The sequence below is a fragment of the Homo sapiens genome, chromosome 5 (genome assembly GCF_000001405.40).
Source record: "Homo sapiens chromosome 5, GRCh38.p14 Primary Assembly".
NCBI lineage: Eukaryota > Metazoa > Chordata > Mammalia > Primates > Hominidae > Homo > Homo sapiens.
The window spans coordinates 174,139,702-174,157,594 of record NC_000005.10 but is presented as its reverse complement, the minus strand read 5'-3'; the positions used below and the strand labels follow the sequence as shown (position 1 = coordinate 174,157,594).

General features: G+C 46.0%; 2 annotated features.

Annotated features, from left to right (window-relative positions):
* Positions 11,523–11,723: a silencer, noted in NCBI's record as "peak5582 fragment used in MPRA reporter construct". NCBI's record gives its function as "represses an SCP1 promoter by STARR-seq MPRAs in K562 erythroleukemia cells {active_cell/tissue: K562}" and the evidence as "EXISTENCE:reporter gene assay evidence [ECO:0000049][PMID:32103011]".
* Positions 12,328–12,828: an enhancer, noted in NCBI's record as "H3K27ac hESC enhancer chr5:173571770-173572270 (GRCh37/hg19 assembly coordinates)". NCBI's record gives its function as "activates a minimal SCP1, AML or CMV promoter by ChIP-STARR-seq in naive H9 embryonic stem cells {active_cell/tissue: H9 hESC(naive)}" and the evidence as "EXISTENCE:reporter gene assay evidence [ECO:0000049][PMID:30033119]".

Sequence of the window (17,893 nt, the reverse complement as noted above, 5' to 3'; positions counted from 1 at the left end):
TCAGAGGTAAATAAAGCTGGGAAGGGCAGAGACTGTGGCCAGAGAGGACTTCTCTAAGGACCCGACAGTAGATGGAAGGAAACGAGGGAGTGAGACATGTGGTCCAGCCAGAGAAAACAGCACATGCAAAGGTCCTGAGGTCCAGGTGTGTTTGGGTGATGTAGGAGCAAGAGTAGTGATACAAGAGCTCTAGAAGGTCGCTGGGAGCCAGATTGTGGAGGGGCCCTGGCATCCTGTCCAAGGACCTGCTGGCTCAGATGGGCACAGCTGAGAATGCGAGTGGCCCCAGTATCCCCATGCTCATCCCTCCACTGCCCATAGGGTGCGCTTTCCTGAGTGGAGCAACCTCCACAGAGGCCCAAAGCAGAGGAAAGGCAGGTCTGAGTGTCCTGCCCTCAGGACTAGAGACCACCTCCTCCCTCCCACTGAAGGAGCAGGGGCAAAAGCGGAGCTTCTCACCCACACAGGCCACTGCAGCCTCAGCGTCAGCTGTCCCAGAAAGAGGTTAAAGAAGGAAAAGAGCTTCCTTTAAAAGAAGCAACTCACAAAGAAACATTTGTTTCCTGGTCAATCCTAATTGGTAAAAGCAATATCAGGCAATTCTTCCATAAATAAAGCATCATATTCATCTTTTGTGAATCCATTCTGATTTCACTCTTTGCCAATACTGCGGGTAGATGTGTGTAGCGGGGAAAAACCATCTAGGTTTACTTATTCTTTTACTTTTTTAAGTGAGCATAAATAATAGTTAAGTTTTTGCCCATTAAAAATGTAGTTTTCAGAAATTATTTTAACTGATGTCAGAAAAAAAATGCATGGCTCAGATGGAATACATTATCGTGTATTTCTTCTTTTCACTCCGCAATGGCACATTTATGAGCTTCCTAGGAATCAAATGTAGTAGCCTTTGACCACAGTGTAGACAGTCCCGGCCCACAGCATTGATTCACGTGCAGATTGCTTTCCTGACACATGTGCCATGCCGGGGTGGGCGAAGAGATGAGCAAAAGAGGGGTCCAAAGGGGCACACATTCTAAATAATTGACACTGAGCTTGCTGCCAATCTGTTTCTAGATAAATTTATGGATGTGTCACAAAAATCGGCAAGGCATTTTAAAGAGACAGGAAAAGATATATTCCTTTTGACAATATCCAAATGCCAGAAATAAGTTTCCTGACCTCATCTCCAACAATGGGTCCAAAGTGTGTCATTGCCCTTCAGGGCTTCTAGCTGAGGGACTGTGTGGAAGACAACATAGGCAGTAAGATTTGGTCTATATTCAGAAAGATGAATTTAAAGCCCTCATTATCTCAGTTCTTCTCTCAAGGGGAAAAGGCAGGCTGTTGAGATGCCAGAAACTGTAGCTGTATCTGTTTGCAAGCATTTTCTCTTGTATATTTATTTGAAGGAAAGATATCATAAGAGAAGCCTGAGCTTATCACACTGTTTTCATGCCTTTGTCATGCTGATCTTTTTGCCTTAGAGGCCCTTGCCCATACTTTCTGCAAAAAGAACTACTTTTTCTTTAAGAATGAGCGTGGAATTTTGCTTACAGTATGGTGAGTTAAGTCCTAGCAGACATCAATCCTCCCAGAAATAATAACTATAAACTATGGACAGAATATAAAAAGCAACTACATTAAAGACTCTAGAGAGTAATTAAAAGCAGGCAAATTTTGGAGGGAAGCCAAAATGCTGAAAGGACTGGAATCGGGTGAGTTCCCAGTTTTGCAGCTTTGTCTGAGGGAGGGCTGTAATCTCAGAGTGGTGTAAGGCGCTGAAGCTCTGATAGGAAACATATAATCTTTCTGCAGTAAAAGAGGATAGAGGTTAGCATGGCCACAGCCACCAGAAACTAAGGAAGGGATTGAGGATCCAGGAAAGGAAAGACATAGAGAATGGGGAGACCCAGGTTCAATGTATAAACTTTGTCCAAGTATCTGGCCAACCCCCTGAACCATGTATGCATGGGACACACTCAAAGTAGCCCAAATAAGGATTAAATCCAGATCTGGGAATTTATCTGGGAATTTATCTTGGGAATCCAGCTACCATCCACTGCATGCAAGCGAGAGACCACAGTTGGAATCTAACTGTCTGCTAAAACAAAAACATTAACATTCTTGGGGGGAGTATAAAAGAAAGCCAGAGTTCCTGTTATATTCCAGAGTTTATTATTCCATAATAATCAAAATGTTCAGGATAAAATCAAAATAACTCACCATATGAAGAACTAGGAAAATTTGACTCTTTTGCAATAGAAAAGAAAAATCAACAATGGTAAACCACAAGATGACTCTGATGTTTTCATTATTTTTTAAAATTCTAATTTTGCTCAGGGAGGTGAAGAAAATATACCAATGAATAAAAAGATAGGGAACACGATCAGAGAAATAGATGTGTCTGTATGTGCGTGTTTACCAAATGGAAAATCAACACCTGAAAAATAGCATGTCTGAAATCTAAAATACACTTGTTAGGTAATGATGAACTTATAGCTTTAGCTTAGAATTCATAAAGCTAGAAAGAACATTTCTCTCACCTTTATAAAAACAACAAAATTTTAGGCAACCTGAAAAAAAAATGTTTTTCTTGAATTTATCACATCCAGACACTAGGCATACTGTATTCAAACTGCTAAAAACTTAAGAAAAAGACAATGTGTATTCTGAGAAAAACCTGAGTAACCAAATTAAACAAGTAAACAAAACTAAACAAATGAACAAGAAAAAGGCAATTTATGTATGGTAGCTAGAGAGGAAAGAGATAAGAATAACTCATTGCAGACTTCTCAATAGAAACTATGCAATCCAGAAGATAATGGGGTGGTGTTAAAAAGAGCTGAAATAAAAATGCTGTCAACACAGAATTTTATACCCAGCAAATATATTTTTCAAAAATGAAAGAAAAATAAGGTTTTTCAGACAAACAAAAGGAGAGAGAACTCACAGCTGGGTGACTTACATTACCAAAAAATAGTTAAAAGAACTTCATCAGGCAGAAGAAATACGATACCAGACAGAAATTTGGAGCTACAACAAAACAAAATGAACAAACACTGGAAGTAGAAACAAAGTTAAATATAAAAATCAGGTTTTTTTTTTATTTTTACCTGCATCAAATGACAACTGACTAGAGCAACAAGAGTAGCAATGTATTGTGTGTTTATAATATGTATAAAAGTAAAATTTACAGCAACAGTAGCACAAAGGATGGGAGAGAAGAATTGGGAGTATACTGTAGTAAGGTCCTTCTACTACAAACAATTTAATATTGAGAATTGAGCAACATAATTTTAGAAGATAGATACTTCTACTCTTTAAAACTATTAAAAGAATTAAAAGACAAGCCACAGATTGGAAAAAATTATTTGCAAATCACATATCTGATGAGGAACTTGTATTCAGAATATCTAAACAACTCTCAAAATTCACTGATAAGAAAACAAATAATCCAAGAAAAAGCATGTAAGAATTTACATAAGGGGAATGCAAATTAAAGCCAAAATGAGATACCACCACACACCTATTAGAATATAACATTAAAAATATTGTGAACTTACAATAATACTAAATATTGGTGCAGATGAGGAACAACTGGAATTCTTACATATTACTGATAAGAATGTGAAATGTCACAGTCACTGTGAAAATAGGTCGGTAGCTTCCTATAAAGTCAAACATACACTCATCACAGGACCCAGCCAATTTATTTCTAGGTATTTACATAAGTGAAATGAAATGTGTGTGTAAATGCCTTAGTGGCTTTATTTTCAATCAACAAAATCTAGACACAACCCTAAATATTCTTCAACTGGTGAGTGAATGAACAAACTCTGAGATGTCCATACAGTGAAATACTACTCAGAAATAAAAAACAGCTAACTATTGATAGATGGTTGAGATTCCACAGCATGAATGAATCTTAAATTTATAATGCTAACTGAAAGAAGCTAGACTCATAAGGCTATATACCGTATAATTCTATTTACATGTTATCCTGGAAAATACAAAACCTATAAGGACAGAAAACACATTCATAGTTTCCAGGGGCTGAGGGTGGGACACAGATTGACTACAAGAAGGATGGAGGAATTTGAGGAGTGATTAATGGAACTGTTCTATATCTTGCTTGTCTATCTTGATAATCTTAGCAGCATTATATAATTATATACATTTGTTAAAATTTGCAGAACTGTGTACTAAAACAGGTGAATGTTACTGTATGTATATTCATGGCTGTATAATTCTGTCAAAACTCATTGAATTTTACATTTTTTAATGGGTGCAATGTATTGTACATAAATTATAACTCACTAAAGTTTTTTTGTAATCCAGCTCAAATTTTTTGTCTTCTGTAAGGCCCTGCAAGATCCCCCCTGACATCGTGAATCTTTCCCTCTCTGGACTCCATTGATATGTTATACAGGTTCCTTTTACAGTACTGGCTGTGTGGTTCTGAGACCATTTTTCTCTCTTCCTAAGCCTGTCATGTCTCATTTTTCTCCAACTCTCCCACAGAGCCTGGAATTCATTCTTTCAACAAATATGTGATCTGCACCTATTGTGGGCTAGTCAACAGCTGTGCCTTCATGAAGATTACAGTATAGCTGGAAAGAAGAATAATAATCTCGTAAACAAATGAATGAAGGTAAGTTCTCAGAGCCTCATTTCTTCCTCTATAAAATGGAGATGATAATAACCATCAGGCTGTTATGAGGTCTACATGGAGTAACCAACAGTGTCTGACACACAGCAAGCACTCAGTAAGTGTTCATTCATATTGTTATTACTGAATATTAAATTATTAAACTTAATTGCTGCTGTGACAATAGCTGGGAAGAAAGTTAACCTGATTTGGTGACAGAAATAATGAGAAAGCACCTACTTTAGAAAGGGTAATCAGGGTGGCCTCTCTGAGAGTGGACACGGAAGCTGGAACCTGAAATAGGAGAAGCCATCAGCTAGGTGAAGTGTGCTTCTGTCAGGCAGCACAGCCTAGATGAAGTCTCTGAGACAGGGAATTGAGGGGCCCCTTGGAGGAACCAGAAAGAAGCTGAGCAGCTTTAGCCCAAGAAGGAAAGGTACGAGTGGAGGAGGTGAGGGAGAAACAGAGGCCCCTTCACCAAGGGTTTATGGGCACTGGCATGGCTTTGGTTAATGTTGGATGGATGGAGGATGGATGGATGGATGGATGGATGGATGGATGGATGGATGGATGGAAGGGTGGATGGATGGATGGATGGACATATGGATAGATAGATGGATAACCCCGCAATTCAGAAGCCACACAGATGTGGGTGTCAACTCTCTTTGTCTCTTGGCAGCTGTGTGATTAAAGGCAAGTAGCTTTCCCTAGCACAGTTTCAGCTTCCACATCTATTAATAAAACAGTGTTAATAATAGTAGCAACCCCACATGATTATTGTAAGAATCAAGTAAGATCATGTACAGAGTCTACCACTTAGTAAATAATCTCACTTTTCTCTCTCCCCACTGTATGTAAGCATGTGTGTATTTCTCTCTGCCATTCCCATGTGTGTATGTACACATGTGTATGTGGGTGCACGTGTGTATCTCCCTCCATGCTTGATGTAACCACCGTGGTCAAGAGCTATGCCTCAGCTTGGCCAGACCAGAAATACAACTTGGCGAGGGCCCCTGGAGTTGACTGGGCTCAGAATCTGTCAGACTTGCCAGAGATGGATGCATGAACCAGAAGTCACATTCTGTCATTCCCTGAAACAGAGAGAGGCTGGGTCATTTGGTGAGGGCACTCTTGGGAGTCATCAGCAGCTGACTGAAGGCAGAGCAGGGCAGGAAATGGACTGGTTTCAGTAGCAAAGCAAGGGGAGAGAATAGACAAGAAGAATAGTGAATGTGCATTGAGTTCTTCTTATGGAGGAAGCACTTGGCATCAATTTTCTCTCTCTCTCTCTTTCTTTCTTTTTTTTTTTTTTTTTTTTTTGAGACAGATTCTTGCTCTGTAACCCAGGCTGGAGTGCAGTAGCACGATCTCTGCTCACTGCAACCTCCACCTCCTGGGTGCAAACAATTCTCCTGCCTCAGCCTCCTGAGTAGCTGGAATTATAGTTGTGTTTCACCACGCCTGGCTAATTTTTGTATTTTTAGTAGAGACGGGGTTTCACTATGTTGGTCAGGCTGGTCTCGAACTGCTGACCTCGTGATCCACCCACCTCGACCTCCCAGAGTGCTGGGATTATAGGCATAAGCCACCATGCCAGGCCTGATTTTCTCATTTTATCCCCACCACAACTCTAGAATAGTGCTATTTTTATCATCATCTCCATTATACAGATAAGAAAATTGGGGCTCACAGAGGTTATGTTATGCTTCCCCGCAAGGTGCTCCTATTGGATGAGGTGTGTGCTGAGATAGCCTTGATGCCCTCAGCACTGGACATAGTCAGTCCCCAACTATGAGCAAACTCATCTTCTTTCCCTAGGGTGACTAATAAATTTGATCATTTGCTGTATATGACTTGACAAATGGTGGGGCACATCAGGATAATCAATTCACCTGAGGGCCCCACTAGTCAATGGTGGGAGGGATTCGAGTCCCAGCAGTCAGACTCCCAAGCCCACCACCCCCCCCACGGTAGGGAAAGCCTGCTATACATACACCCTGGCCCTGAGTTCTAGCTCTGTCCCCTCCCTGTCCTCCCCTCCCATGGCAGGCTGCAGTCAGCCATGACCCTAATTAACCCTCTCACAGATCTGATGGGGAGGGTGATTCCATCCACTGTACAGATGCAAAAATTGGAGCATCCCTCATCCCCTCTTCCCTTTTGTCAAGCCCTATTCAGACTGTGCCATCTCTGCCTGCCCAGGGCAAAGGCATTGAGTTGGGGTAGATGGCACCTGGGATGGGGTCGGTTCTGTTTGTAGAACTGAACACTAAAAGGTCCGTTGGAAAACTGCCCTTCCAGAGCCCCTGAGCACATTCCAGAACTTCCTGAGGCCCTTGGTCAGCAGTTCTTTTGTAGGCTTTGTGACCACCTCCTCAGCCAGCCTTCTAGGCTCAGCTCCAATGTCACCCTTTTGTCCCAGTCCAGAAAGAGCTAGTGGTTCTCTCCTCCTCACACCCACAGCTCCCTTACAGAAGTGCCCTCCTGGAATTACAGCTAGCTGTGTATCAGCTGCATCACATGCTGGAAAAAACCTTGTGGGTAGGCACACCTGGGAAGTGGAGGGCCGTGCACAGGCCTGGGATTTATGGGGAGACAGAATTAACAGAACTTGGTGATTAGGCGGATGCGGGGAATATGCTGGATGAAAGAGACGTGAATACTCCCAGCTCCCGGTTATAAGCAAAAGGGGGAAGATGGTGCCATTTGTTGAGACGGATGGAGGAAGGCAGCTGGGGCTTCTGTGGAGGGGATGATTAAAAATCTCATTAGGGGAGGAATCCCAGCATGAAACCTACAATCTCTCAGGAGAGCAATCTTGACATGCAGTTAAGACCTTTGGAGGCTGAGTCTTCCAAGTAACCCCTTTCTCTCAAGCCACTGACATTTCAGGGATCTTCATTTAGATGATGGAACATCTAGAAAAACTGGGTCCATTTTTGCATTTCTTTTAGTTCACCAGCAATTTTTAGTGTGGCTAAGTTCAACGGGAAAATCACCCTCCCTTTGAATTCTATCTGATGTCTAGCGAATGTCTCCGTTGGTCGTCAGGGTGGGAGAGAAGAAAGTCAAAATCATCCAGGGTTCTGGGCTAGGGAAAGGGTCAAGAGGCCAGGGTTATGGCCCCAGGGCCACTTCTGGTGATGGCCCCAAGTATGGAGTTCAGTTCTCCAGGCCCACCCTCTGAGATGCCCTGGCTTGCTGGGAACTCTTCCTGCTTCTGCTTCCAGGCCATTCTTGGTGACCCTTGTCCCTCTCTGAACAGAGCAAAACATTCTCCTCTCCCCTCCTCAGCATCCAGTTCATTCCTCAATTACAGCAGCTGCCACATTCAACTACCATCATTCCTGGTCAGTGCCATGAAGTGGAAAGAACTTGAGACTCAGACGATTTTTGGTCCCCGTCCCAGGCTCTGACTCCACATCTGCGACTCTGGGGAAGCCTCTTTTCCTCTTTGAGTCTCTATCTCCAATTGATGTGAGATTTTAAACATGAGAAGAAAAAATACACATAACTGTTTGTCATCATGATAGGCACATGCTAAGTGCACAATAAATACTAGGTCCTTGTCCCAAGAAGACAGAGAGCTCCATGGGACAGGGACCATCTGTATCATGCATCTCTGAGGACCTAGACTTTGCTACCAGATTGAAGTGTGTCTGTGTCCTGGTTCTGCCTCTTACCAGGTGGGTAAGCTTAAGGTAGATCATTTTACTTCTTTGAGCCTCAGTTTCATATTCTGTAAAATGTAAAATTTCATAATCTGTAAAATGGTGGCTTTTGTTAGGAAAAATGTGAATTGTATGACAGTATCTGGCACTTACTCTTATAAAAGGCTCAAATTGTTGAGCTAAGCCCTTGAAACCTCTGTGAGATCAGGAACTGTTTCTATCTTGCTCACAACTGTGTCCTCAGGTCTTCCATGTACAGCTACGTAAGTTGTGCGCTGCTCTATTCCAGAGCATCCTTCATGCAAACTTTGGGATGAATTGTGCTCCCTGGGGTTTGCAGTGTATCAGCCCTGCCAGCACAGTGCCTGGCATTGTTCCAGGTGCTATAAACAGGACTAATTCCTGCTTTCATAGAGATTACAGTATCATGGGGAGGAAAAATAATAAACAGGAAAATAAATGTTACCAATTAATAAAATAGGGTGATGTGACAGAGAGTGACTAGGAGAGGGGTGAACCCCACATAGATAGTGACATGAGCTGAGGCATGAATGTCAGCCATGCAAAAATGGGGAACACAAAGGACACAAAAGCAAAGGGCCTGTGACAGGTATGAGGGTGGAGAGAGGTGGGCAGAGGGCAATTCATCTCAGGCAAGTAGTATTGGGTAGGAACAGCACGTCCTTCAAGGTCCTCCAGGAAGCCATGGAAATTTTGAATCAGAAGCTGGACATGATCCAATGTGTGATTTATAAAGGGGAGAAGGGGAGCAGGGAACCAATCAGGAGACTAATGCCCACACCCTGGCACAGAAGGGCCACTGAGACCAGGGAGGGGGTAGTAGAGTTGGGAAGAAGTGAATCTGGTCTGTCCATATGTCAGAAGTGGAGGAAGTAGGAAGGCACGGAAGTGTAAGATGTGGAAGAGAATAGCGAAGGGCTGTCCTCAGGGGTGAACAGGGAGTTACCGAGGGAGATGGGAAGACTGAGAAAGGAAGAGGTTAGGGAGGTTTCAGTGCCAGTTAGGCATCCAAGTGGAGATGCCTAGTGCTTAACTGGTGCTCAATAAAACCTGTTGGATGAATGAATAAATGAATGAATGAGACTCCAGGTCCTCTGTAATGTGGAGGTAATAAGCCTCACTTTTGTGAAAAGAAAATAAGACTGCAGAGGTCATAGGTGGAGGAAGTCACTCTGTTGCTACCCTGGAGAGGGAGAGGTGGTCTCCCCTGCCTGCCCCTGAGGTGCCCTGCCCTGCCCCAATGCCTGCCCCTGCCCTCCCTGCCCACCCTCCAGTCTGTGTTTAGAGCTCTCTGCCTTCCTTCTTCAAGTGTCTCCTGCCCCTCTTCCTGAGAAGAGCTACTGCAGTCCAGAGGGGCCACAGCTCCTCTCAGCCTTGGGACACTCTGCCCAGCTCCTCGGGGTGCAGGGTCAGAGTGGCCAGCCTGCTGAGGGTGCAGAGGTGAAGGCAGTGGTGCCAGTTCCTTGACCTATGAAGGAGCAATGTATTTTGGTAGGGGCTTGGTTTGGGGTCGGTGGTCCTGCTGAGCATGGTGCAGGGAGGAGGAGGCTCCTGGTGTCCTGGGCAGAGGCCAGACCCATGCTGGGCAGGGCTACAGCTCACTCTACCTGCTTTTCCCATAACTCCTCTCCCCCATGGTTCTCCACACACCCCTGCACCCACCCTCTCATCTGGTTGGCCTTTTCATTCTCTGGCAGGTGTTGTCTCCAAACTGAAGGTGTCTGTGAACACTGTGGAAATGAGAATATGTCAAGGCTCTTATTTCTGTGCAGTTTTATTTTAACTGCCCTTCAAAGAGACCTGGGGCTTCCTAGCAGAGCCATGGCACTGGTGGACTCGGGCTTGGATCCTGGCACCATGATCACAAGCTGTGCCACCTGGGGCAAGTCACTTCCGGTCTCTGAGCCTCAGGTTCCTCACCTGCAGGATGGGCTGTTTGCACAGGATCCTAACCTGCAGGATGGGCTGTTTGCACAGACTCCTCACCTGCAGGATGGGCTGTTTGCACAGACTCCTCACCTGCAGGATGGGCTGTTTGCACAGACTCCTCACCTGCAGGTTGGGCTGTTTGCACAGATTCCTCACTGGCAGGATGGGCTGTTTGCACAGATTCCTCACCTGCAGGATGGGCTGTTTGCACAGATTCCTCACCTGCAGGATGGGCTGTTTGCAAGGCCAGAGCACTTATTTAGTAACATGCAATAAACCCTCAGCTAAATGTCTGGCCCAGAATAGAGACAGAGAAATATTAGTGAGCTGCTTCCTCTCAAATCAATGTAAGACCAAAGACCCCAGAAGGCTCACTTCACAAATTCTAACGTTCACTTTTCAGATCCTCATTCATTGAAAAAGTACTAAACGGCCTCTCCCCTCTCCTGTGTGCCAGATCCTGGGCCAGGTGTTGGGGTAGATAATGGGGCGAACAAGACTGGAACCCAGCGCCTGATAGAGGAAAGCCCTGTGAATGGCAGAGGGTGGTGGATGGGGTCCTGGGAGAAGAAATACCCCATGGCTTCAGGGTAGGAAGGTGGGCTGCGGGGATGAGGGGGATCTGAACTGACACCTGAAGGAGGGGGGAGAACGACCAAGGTCAAGGTGAGGAAGTCACCTGCTCTGAAGCAAGAAGATCATGACACTCAGAGAAAAGGAAGGAGAAACAGCAAAGAAGGAATGAGGGCATGGAGAGGAAGGAGTGTGATGCCCGAGGGTGAGCCATGGCTGGAGGACAACATGATTTGCTTCATGTTTTCCAAACAAACCCCTGGTTGTGTTGCAGAGAACGTGTTGCAGTGGACAATGGATGGAGCAGAGAAGAAATCAAAGCCAAATTCCTTGTGCTCTCTGGAGCCCTGGAATCAGACAGGCCTAGGTTTCCCTCTCAGCCTTACCACTTCATATTTAAGTGGACTTGGATAAGCCCCCTTTCCTCTCTAAGTCCTGGGTTTCTTGTCTGTAAAATGGGAAGAGTTTAGAACATGCCTCCTGAGGCTGCTATATGTTATACAAAATGAAATGTGTTAATTCATGCAGTGACTGGCACAGAACAAGCCCCCAGTAAGTGGAAGTTGTTATCGTTGCTGCCTTTCTCTCACCATCACACACATATGCACTCCTTGCCCTAACATACCCGTGGACTCTCATAAGAATGTCTCCAATTTTTCCAGCCAGTTCCAAATCAACCACTGTCAGCAGCCCTGGGTTGGGGGTGAGCGGAACAGAGGCCTCTCAGGATTCGTGCTGTAGCTCGGTTGCCTAGCAACAGCATCAGCATCTGCATCATTGCAGAGCCAGGTTGCATCAGGCACCAGTCAAAACAAAGGCAGAAGAAATGAGTCACAGCCAGGCTCTGGGAACTGGTGGGAGCAGGGCCTTGTTTTTGGCAAGAATCAGATACACCCATAATCTAGTTCTGGAGGGAAGCCCCCTAATTCTAGCTTCCTCTGCTTCCCTAGGGGAACCCACATTCCTCCCAATTCCCTGGGCGTTCTGGTATGAGGAGAGGACTCAGAATGGATCTGAGTGGTATGCTACAGCCCTCTGCATACACTATACATTCATGGTTTTCAGAATAATGCTTATCCCCAACTTACAGCTGAGAAAGATGAGGCTCAGAGAAGATTTAAAGTTCAAGTCTCTCTTTCCCCACAGACCTTGCTCAGTTCCCTAGTCCACAAGGGTACCAATGCCTCCCCAGACTTGCTCCCCAGCCCTGACTCTACTGAGCTCGAGACACAAATAGTCAAGTGCTCTGGTCCTCTCCCATGAATGAACTCCAGGCAGCTCACTTAGGAGCCTCAAAGCTGGACTCTTCATCCTCCCCCATCCAGCTCCTTCTGCTTCTAAGTCCTCTTCTCACAAGGGCACCAGCACCTGGCCATGACTTGCACCTAATGAAGCAGGTGTCACCCTGGATGCTTCTCTTCCTCGTCTACCTCAAGGCCAATTTGACCCCAAATCCCAGCAACAGTCTTCTCCATAGGCCTCCTCTCCATTCTCAGGACCAGACCTGGCCATGGTGTCCTGGACCCACCACCTGGTGCCCAGCCTCAGCTGCTCACCTCTCTCCACCCTGCAGCCCTGTCTAGAGGTTGCCTCTGACCTCGTCACTCCTTTGCTTGAATCCCTATGCTGGCTCCACCTGCCCACAGTTTGAAACCCATACTCCTTACCAAAGCCTTCAAGGTCCTGCACAGTCCCTATGCCTGCTGCCTACAACACACACACACACACACACACACACACACACACACACACACTGGGACCCCCCACCCTTCACTCCTGACACTCTGAGTGATGGTGGTCCTCAGTGTTCCCTGACAACAGGTGAGCAGAGGACAGCTGATAACCTTAGCCACTCAGGCCCCTCTCTGACCCATCAGTTTTCCAGTAAAAACACATCCTAAGTTCTAGGTCAGGTGCAGCTCATCCCTGATTCTGGATGCTCCAGTCACCCTCAGGTGATGCCTGTTTACATCTGAGACTGACCAACAATGTCACATCACTCCTGAGGGTATAAGGTGGCCTGTCGAGGCAGCAGGAGGACCCCAGGCTTCTGGACCAAGATGACTTAGCTTTAAATCCTAGCAAGAAATCTTACTAGGTCCATGACTACGGTGGTGTTAAAATGTGTCCATGCATTCTTTAACACTTCCTTCAAAAGTTAAAACTTAGTTCTCCTTCCTTTGGGTGTCTGCTGGATTTAGTGATCCACTTCTAGCAAACAGAATAAAGTGGAAATGATGGCATGTGACTCCCAAGACTAGGTCCAAAGCTTTGACTTTGCTGTCTGTCTTGGATCACGCACTCTGGGGAAAGAGTTGCCATGTCATGAGGATGCTCAAGCAAGCCCAAGGAGAGGGTCCCGTCGACAGAAAACAAAGCCCTGAGGCCTCTTGCCAGCAGCCGTGTGAGTGAACCATCCTGGACACAGGTCTTCAGCTCCACCAAGCCTCCAGATGCCTGTGGCACCAGCCGACATCCTGACGACAGCCTCATGGCAGCCCCTGGCCCAGAGCCACCCAGCGGTTCCATTCTCCAATTCCTGACCCACAGAAACTATGAGATAATAAGTGTTTGTTGTTGTAAGTTGCCAAGTTGCTATAAATTTAATACACAGCAACAGATGACTAAACAGTATCCTGGAGCACATCACTTCACCTCACCATGCCTCCATTTCCTCACCTGTAAAACAGAGTTAATAAGAACATATGTATACTGCTGTTCAAAAGATTAAAAGAATTAGTAATTAGGAAGCACTTAGCACAGTGCCTGGTGTATATTAAACTTTCAAAAAATATCAGCCTTCATTTTGTTTACTATTATTTATTATAAAGGGTTTATTATTTGTTTCCATAGACCCCAAATAAGGCCAAACTCAAGAGGCTGGTCCCCTATCCAAAAAGGTGTTCACGGGTTGTTGCATCTGCCACCAGAAGCCTAGATACTGATACTGTGATTGCTGAAAGCCGTTGCCATTATTTCTTCTCTCTCTCTCTCTTTTTTTTTTTCTTGAGACGGAGTCTCGCTCTGTTGCCCAGGCTGTTAGTGCTCGGCACCATCTCGGCTCACTGCAACCTCCACCTCCGGGGTTCCAGCGAGTCTCCTGCCTCAGCCTCCCGAGTAGCTGAGATTACAGGTGTGCACCACTATGCCTGGCTAATTTTTGTATTTTTAGTAGATACGGGGTTTCACCATGTTGGCTAGGCTGGTCTCGAACTCCTGACCTCAGAGGATCCACCCGTCTCGGCCTCCCAAAGTGCTGGGATTACAGGCATGAGCCACCGCTCCCAGCCCACTACTTCTTTGAGAAAGAATTTTAGTCTAATGGTTCCTAGCCTTTACCAAGAGCGTGATGCTTGCCTCAATAACAATAACAGCAATCATAACAAAAGAGGTAGCCGCTATCACATACCAAGCTCTTCCTCTAAGTGTCTTACATAGATAAATCCTCCCATGTGGGAGTACTGGGTCCAGTGACAGATGAGGGACTTGAAGTGCAAAGGACGGAGGGCTATGTCCAAGGTCCCGCAGTGAGTAAGCCACAGAGCCAGGACCCAAACCTGCTCTGTCTGACCTCAAAGCCACTGCTAAGAGGAACTTCAAGAGCAGACCCTGTTCTTACCTCCAACCTCGAGAACTCCCAGAAAGGCAAGTGTTGACTGTGGCAGGAACTGAATGCCAGCTCTGAAGTCAAAGGCACTGGTTTTTGGAGATGCCACACCTTTTGAACACCCTCCTGCCTGCACTCCAGGGACTTGGAGCCTCCAGGGGCTTTCAGAAGCCGGTGGCCCTGTTTTGCTGTGAGGAGCAAACTCCTCAGCCTGCTCTCCATCCGAGGCCCCATTTCTGTACTGAGGCCTCCAGAGCTGAGCAAGACCAAAGGCCCTGGAGAGAATGAAGCTCCGTAGCATCATCTCCAGGTCCTCTGGTGCTCCCCTCCCTGAGGTGTCACAAAGGCCCATGGTACAAGAAAGCACTTCCAATGCAGAGTGCTGCCACAAACACCTTCCCGGAACACGCTCATTGGCCAATTCCAACTTCACTTCCCCACCTGGGAGACCCCCCTAGGGGTGGCTGTCTGAGCCTGGAAACCAAATAGTGACCTTTCAAATGGTTATCAAAAACCCCATCATCTTGTTTGTTTGTTTGTTTGTTTGAGAACGAGTCTCGCTCTGTCGCCAGGCTGGAGTGCAGTGGCGCAATCTTGCCTCACTGCAAACTCTGCCTCCCGGGTTCAAGCAATTCTCCTGCCTCAGCCTCCTGAGTAGCTGGGACTACAGGCGTCCGCCACCACACCCAGCTAACTTTTGTATTTTTAGTAGAGACGTGGTTTCACCATGTTGGCCAGGATGGTCTCGATCTTTTGACCTTGTAATCCACCCGCCTCAGCCTCCCAAAGTGCTGGGATTACAGGCGTGAGCCACCGCGCCCGGCCAGAAAACTCCATCATCTTTTATAGCCCTTTGTCCTAGGTCTTATCAGTGTAGGGATGACAGAACGTGGAGGAAAGGCTCGGGCACTCACGTGAGGCTCAGCATGTTAGATTTTAAAGTTCACGCAGCAAAGCATGGGCCAGCTTTCACACACCTTTCAACCTGGCAAGCAGGCTTGCAGAGCTCTCACCGAGAAGAAGGTGGAGCTTTCTTGCCGATGTTGAGGAAGTGAAGAAATGAAAGGTCTCCCATGCACCTAAAAAATATCTTGTTCCCACGGTGTTACAATGAGGAGTCCAGAACCTAAGAGGGGACAGCAGAGCCCCACATCCTCCCTCCCATCCCTCAGTCTCCTCTGTCTCCTTGCAAGGGAGGCGAGATGCTCATCCTCTCCTCGCCTATCTGCTGATAGAGCTTACTACTTCCCAAGACAGCCCTTTCTGGAACCTAGATTTGGGAATGAGAACCTGGGGTTGGATATTGGGTTCAGTTGTGTGACCCCGGAAAGCCACTGCACTCCGTGGGTTCCAGTTGCCCTTCCTACAGACAGGGCTCGTGATCTCACAGTGCTGCAGAGACTCAAATACGGCATTGGCTACTAATATGCTTTAGAAATGGCAAAAGGTAAAGCAGCAAAAGGGAAGGCGAGGGTTATTTTTGTCATAATTACTGTTATTATGAGGATGTCACACGGCACTCATTGTTCCGGAGCTTCCCCTGATATTGAACCCACATTTGCTCCCCTCTGGCACCTACTCACCAGGTCTCTCCACCCATAGGGTAATTACAGTGGTTGTGATGAGAAAGATAAGCATTTGTCAGCTTTGTTAAGACTTGAATCCAATCTGAGAATGGCCATTCTGGAAAACATAAACCCAGGGGTACTCACTTATGACCTTGCTACCAGTCACGAGGTCACATGCATCAAGGAGAAGGAAGTACACTTCCCCTCCTCCTTTCTGTTGACAGGCATTCTAGTGTCTTCTACGACAGATACAGAGAGACCTCCTCAGACCACCCAACATGCATCCAGCACACACCCCCAGCACTCTGTCCCTGCTGATTTCCTTCTTTCTATAGCACTCATCACCAATGGATAGTTTCTCATTCACCTCTTTGTTTGCCTATCTGTACTGTCCTGCTACAGTGTGAGTCCCTTCCAAGCAGAGACTTTGTCTGTCTTGTTCTCCACTGAGTTGCCAGTGCCAGCAGGGGCCTGGCAGAAGAGATCCTGAATACATGCCTGTAGAATGAATTTATAAATAAATTATAACAAGGTGCAGCCTCTGCACCCTGAGAACCTCTGTATGGTGTAGAACAACTGACAAGCACACAGGCGATATGGATTCAGTAAGATTAATGCCATGAGACCAGCTGAATAAGAAAAAATAGAGACAAAACAAGACAAGGGAGGAACTCTGTCTCAGCAGTGGCCAAGAAGGCTTCCCTCGGGAGAGACTCGAGTTGGGCTTTGAGGGATGAATAGGGGTTAGCCAGGTGGAGGAGGACGTTGTGCATATAAACAGCCAGGGGGTCAAACAAGGAGATGTGTTTGCAATTGGACACGTCATTCCTTATGGCTGGAGCATAGGGTTTACTGGGAATCTGCTGAGTGAGAGCTGGCCCTGAAATGCAAATTCAGGATGAGTGGCCCTCATCTCAAGAGCAGCAGGAAGTTCTGAGAGCTTCTGAGCAGGAGTGTGGTGAGGTCAGATTTACAGTTGGGAAGATCACTTTGGGGCAGTGGGGAGGAGAGAGGGAAAGAGAATGCAGGCAGGAGATCAGGGTGGGAGTAGGGCAGGAGAGGGGTGGAGTGTCCTGAACTAGGGCCTGGGAAGGAAGCTAAGGAGACCTGGAAATGAGGAGGCAGGAATGAGCTTCTAGAGTCAAGGTGAGAATGAAATTAGGAAAAAGAAGAACTAAGAAAAATTTAAATGAAAAACAACTGTGTGATACTAGCACAGGCCTAGATTCCCAAGGGAAAACGGGAGGGGAGGAAACAATCACATGTGGATACCTACTATGTGCCAGGCGGTTACCATCCACTGCCTCGCTCAGTCCATGAGTGGGGCGTTCCTACCTCCATTTCATAGATGAAGAAACTGAGGCTCAGAGAAGTTGAAAAATCTATCCAAATTTTCACATGTAGGAAAGGAGAGAGCCGAGAATCAAATCTGGTTCCTTCAGACATCAAAACCCAAATTCCTTACACTATACCACCTACCTCCCAGAAAACTCAAGGGGACAAGTATGGGAAGAAAGGGAAGAGAGGAAAGTAGTGAGAGACAAAACCGTGCTGCCCCAGAACTCGGCCTCTATGGAATTCTTCCTTTCTCATTGCCAAGCTCAGTCTTGTCTAAATGTCAATAGTAAAGAGAACAAGTTGCCCTTTTTCTTCCATGCTAATTATGTTCACATTAAAATTTTTTTAATCCTTCCCCATTCCTGGATTCAGGCACTATTTTCCTTTTTGTTCATGTAAAGTGAGATTGTGGAGGCCTAAACTCTGACCTACTTTCTCTCTCTTTTTTTTTTTTTTTTTTTTTTGGCACCAATTGTTGGCAAACCTTGGCTTCAAAAGTGAGAATTTCTGAACAGATAGTCTGAGCTCTTAAAAGGGA